Source organism: Homo sapiens, chromosome 2, assembly GCF_000001405.40.
Source record: "Homo sapiens chromosome 2, GRCh38.p14 Primary Assembly".
Lineage (NCBI taxonomy): Eukaryota > Metazoa > Chordata > Mammalia > Primates > Hominidae > Homo > Homo sapiens.
Genome location: NC_000002.12, coordinates 203596773 through 203601503, shown reverse-complemented (window position 1 = coordinate 203601503; position 4731 = coordinate 203596773). Strand labels below are relative to the sequence as shown.

At 45.8% G+C, this 4731-nt stretch overlaps 1 annotated feature.

Moving 5' to 3' along the window:
• Positions 353–1236: an enhancer, noted in NCBI's record as "NANOG-H3K27ac hESC enhancer chr2:204464991-204465874 (GRCh37/hg19 assembly coordinates)". NCBI's record gives its function as "activates a minimal SCP1, AML or CMV promoter by ChIP-STARR-seq in naive H9 embryonic stem cells {active_cell/tissue: H9 hESC(naive)}" and the evidence as "EXISTENCE:reporter gene assay evidence [ECO:0000049][PMID:30033119]".

Genomic DNA, 4731 nt, shown 5'->3' with positions numbered 1-4731 from the left:
GAGGCGGGCGGATCACTTGAGGTCGGGAGTTCAAGACCAGCCTGACCAACATGGAGAAACCCTGTCTCTACTAAAAATACAAAATCAGCCGAGCGTGGTGGTGCATGCCTGCAATCCCAGCTACTCAGGAAGCTGAGGCAGGAGAATCGCTTGAACCTGGAAGGTGGAGGTTGCAATGAGTCGAGATTGTGCCATTGCACTCCAGCATGGGCAACAAGAGCAAAACTCCGTCTCCAAAAAAAAAAAAAAAAAAAGATTTATATAAAGGGCATAGCCCACTTGTACCTATCACATGTCACTTCAATGGTCATTGTAGTCACTGTTATTAAAAATCATTATATTGTGGTTGCTATTATTAGCAAGACCAGACTTAGAGTGAGAATTATGTTATTTTAGGAGGAGAATTTCCAAAATCCTCCCCCCACCTACTGCCTAATGCCTTAAATCTCTTCAATGAAATAAAGACTTTTATTTTAGAATCAGCAAAGGATCTTAAAATGAGACTATTTCTCTGGAATTGTGACATATTGATTTATTTATTTTTATTTTTTTTTTTTTGAGATGGAGTCTTGCTCTATCACCCAGGCTGGAGTACAGTGACACGATCTCGGCTCACTGCAACCCCCGCCTCCCAGGGTCAAGCTATTCTCCTGCCTCAGCCTCCCGAGTAGCTAGGATTACAGGCATGTACCATCATGCCTGGCTAATTTTTTGCAATTTTAGTAGAGACGGGGTTTCACCATGTTGGCCAAGCTGGTCTCAAACTCCTGACCTCAAATGATCCGCCTGCCTCGGCCTCCCAGCAAGTGCTGGGACTACAGGCGTGAACCACCGCGCCCAGCTGTGACACATTGATTTAAAATTTACACAAAGACTTAAATGTCTACTGTAAAATTCCTCTTCTGAGTGGAGATTTTAAAAAGGATGTTGTATTCGTCAGGGTTCTCATTCAATTCTACAGCCCCCAAGATCCTTAGGATGATATTTGAGCCCCCAGGGCTAAGCTGGGGAAGGGGCGAGGTGGAGGAAGACCAACAGGAGCTAACATCAGGGCTCTTGCATACGTAAGTGTCCCTGGTTCCTCCACTTTCACACTACTGAATGTGGTCCCAGGACAGAGGGAATGGTATCCCACAGAGTTTGTGAATTGAGGCATTTCTAGTAGCTCAAATGTAAAAAGAAAGGATGAGCTATACAGTCTAAGAATTCCAAGATTTGGGGTAGAGAATGCAGAGCAGGCAGGAGAAGCATCTTATCAACAGCAAAGTTCTGTTTGCAGAATAATAAAAATAATTAACACTTAGTATGTGCTCACTGTGTGCCTAGCAGTGCTCTAAAGGCTTATTTCCTTTAATCCTCACAATAACCATACAAGTATTTGGTAGTCTTCTCCTCATTTAAAAGTTGAGAAAATGGATGAACAGAGAAGTAACTGGCTGAAAATTGCACAGCCAGTAAGTATTAATAGTAAAGGCAGGATCCAAAGACAGACATGCTGGCACTGGAATCTAGATGGTTAGCCACTGGGCTAAACCATAAGGATAGCAAACATTTATTGAGACCTAGGCTCCAGGCATTGCACTAAACATCTATTTTACGTGGACTATGTCATTTGATGATCATGGTAACCCATATGGCATCGTTAAACCCCATGTTGCAGATGAGTTAACTGAAGTTTAGGTACATCGAGTGACTTGTCCCAGGTCCCAGAGGTCTACTTAGTCCAGGTTTACAAAGAAGAAAGCTACTACGTTTAAAGAACCTTTTTGCCATTCCATACCACAAACCAGAAGTTTTGGTTTGAGTAGACATGAAACAGTTTTGCAGCATCTACTTCAAGGGAGCTTCATTTTTGTTGTTTATGGGTATCAGGGTGTATTTAAACAAAAAGCATCTATTTCAGGAGACAGAGTTTTCATGATGTGCTTTTTTGTTTCACTGTTCAGTAAAAATCCCATCTGTTTATGCTGCATCACACCATGATTTTTTTTTTTTTTTGAGACGGAGTCTCTCTCTGTTGCCCAGGCTGGAGTGCAGTGGCGCAATCTTGGCTCACTGCAAGCTCCGCCTCCCGGGTTCACACATTCTCCTGCCTCAGCCTCCCGAGTAGCTGGGACTACAGGTGCCCTCCACCACGCACAGCTAGTTTCTGTATTTTTAGTAGAGACGGGGGTTTCACCTTGTTAGCCAGGATGGTCTCGATCTCCTGACCTCATGAACCACCCACCTCGGCCTCCCAAAGTGCTGGGATTTCAGGCATGAGCCACCACACCTGGCCACACCATGATTTTACTTGTGCTACTTCTACCCAGATGTGAAAGACATTAGCTAATGAGGTCTGTGCTCATGTCAAAGAGGGAGACTTAATCATCCCTTAGAACTGTTCTATTGGCAACATTTTCAACTTCCTCTGATCATCCAAAACCCATCCCACCTAATAAGTTTTGCCTATAGTAAATGAATCCAGTTTTCTTACTGACAAAACAAAAAGCAACTCTTAAATTGTCATGCTTGCTTTTTTTTTTTTTTTTTTTTTTGAGACAGGTTCTCGCTCTGTTGCCCAGGCTGGAGTGGCAGTGGCAGTGGCAGTGGCATGGGCAACAGAGCAAGACCCTGCCTCCAGAAAGTATGAAAATTTAAGAGATGTTTTTTTTGCTGCAGCCACAACCTCCTGGGGTCAAGTGATCATTCCACCTCAGCCTCCCAGGTAGCTAGGACTACAGTCATGCGCCACGACACCTGGCTAATTTTGTTTATTTTTTATAGAGGCACAAGCTCCCTATGTTGGCCAGGCTGGTCTCGAGCTCCTGGACTCAAGCGATCCTCTCATCTCGGCCTCCCAAAGTGCTGGGATTACAGGCATGAGCCACCGTGCCCGGTCAGATTTCCATCGTTTTGATGTATTTCTTATTTTCTTCTGTCTGCAACTGGTCTTTGGCCGCTCACAGCCACTCCTCAGACATGTTCTCACTCCTCTGGTGGCTTGCTCAAGAGCGGTGAGGTTTTGGTATTTTTGGTTTGGGGTTTGAGGTAAGGGAAGTTTCAGAGAGGAAACAATGAAACGGTCCAGTGATTTCTTCTTAAGTCATATGCATAATTGACATTGACTCTGAAAAAAGAGAAATTCAATGCGAAGGTGGTCAGCTAGGCCCGCCCGGCTCTGACATAGGACTCTGAGGTAAGCCCCACCAGAAAACATGATTTGCAAAAGACACGACTGTGCTTGAAGGTAACTTCATTTTGAAAAGGGAAGAGAAATGTTGTTTGGGAGAAGAAGGGTTTTCTTGGGATTTTTTCCCATGGGATCCAGTGAGATACGTCAGGTCATCTCCTGAAGATCAATCACTATTGCTGATCTTCTGTGATTCCAAACCCATGCTGGGCCTTGTCCTAAACACTCAGACCCCCAGCCCAGCTCCGGCAACCAGCAGGACCCAGACATGCTGACATTGCCCCCATACGCCCAGCACCTTACCATTGAGAACTTCTTTCTGGTGCCCAATAGCCCTTGGATAGAATGAAAGATTAGGAGCCAGACATGCCAAAGAAAATCAATCTGCTCTTGGAGCTCAAGAAAAAAAGCAGGACTAATACATGGTCTCAGCATTTTCTTTCTTTTTTTTTTTTTTCTGCGACGGAGTCTCACTCTGTTGCCCAGGCTGGAGTGCGGTGGCATGATTCCAGCTCACTGCAACCTCCGCCTCCCAGATTCAAGCAATTCTCTGCCTCAGCCTCCCAAGTAGCTGGGATTACAGGCATCTGCCAGCAGGCCCGGCTAATTTTTGTATTTTTAGTAGAAATGGGGTTTCACCATTTTGGCCAGGCTGGTCCTGAACTCCTGACCTCGTGATCCCCACCGCCTCGGCCTCCCAAAGTGCTGGGATTACAGGCATGAGCCACTGTGTCCAGCCCAGTCTCTGCATTTTCAAACCCCTTTGCTTCCACTTTCTTTCCCCAGGCCTTTTTCCTTCTCTCTCCTTTATAGACCACCTTCTCTGTGCTTCACTTCCAGAAAAAAAGACCTCCTTCTATTCCTTGTCTGTGTTCAAGTCAAGCGAAGGAACATTTACCTAAGGCTAGGCCACATGGGGAATGCAGAAGTTGTGACAGAGCCCCTGCTCTCAAGGGGTATACAAACCCATTGGGGAGACATGGTGAACACAAGGGTAATACTCAGGGACAGCCAGGGCCAGCACTCATCCACTGATGTTTCCTGAGAATTCAGAAAGGCACTAGGGATGCTACTGGCATGGAGAAAGGAGCATGGGCTGGGTCTCCGCTCCCACTCAACTCTTTGGCCAGGTGCCCTTGGGCAGAACAAAAAATGCATATCCATGGGGGACAACCCTGGGAAAAATAATCACAATGTTCAGCCCATTTTATGAATGTAATCCACTGCAAATAGGCATGGTACAGAAGCTGCCTGACACAGTCCAAAAAGGGAGACATAAATGTTGGTTAGTTTTATCAGGAAGACTTTGTGTAAGAGGTGGGGTTTGGACCGGTGGGGTGAGCTAGAAGGTCACTACCCTGGATAAGGAGTGCATTCTGAAAAGAGAAAACTGTATAAGCAGAGACACAGGGATGAGAAGGAACAGGATGGCCGGGCGCGGTGGCTCATGCCTGTAATCCCAGCACTTTGGGAGGCCGAGGCGGGCGGATCACAAGGTCAGGAGATCAAGACCATCCTGGCTAACATGGTGAAACCTCGTCTCTACTAAAAATATCAAA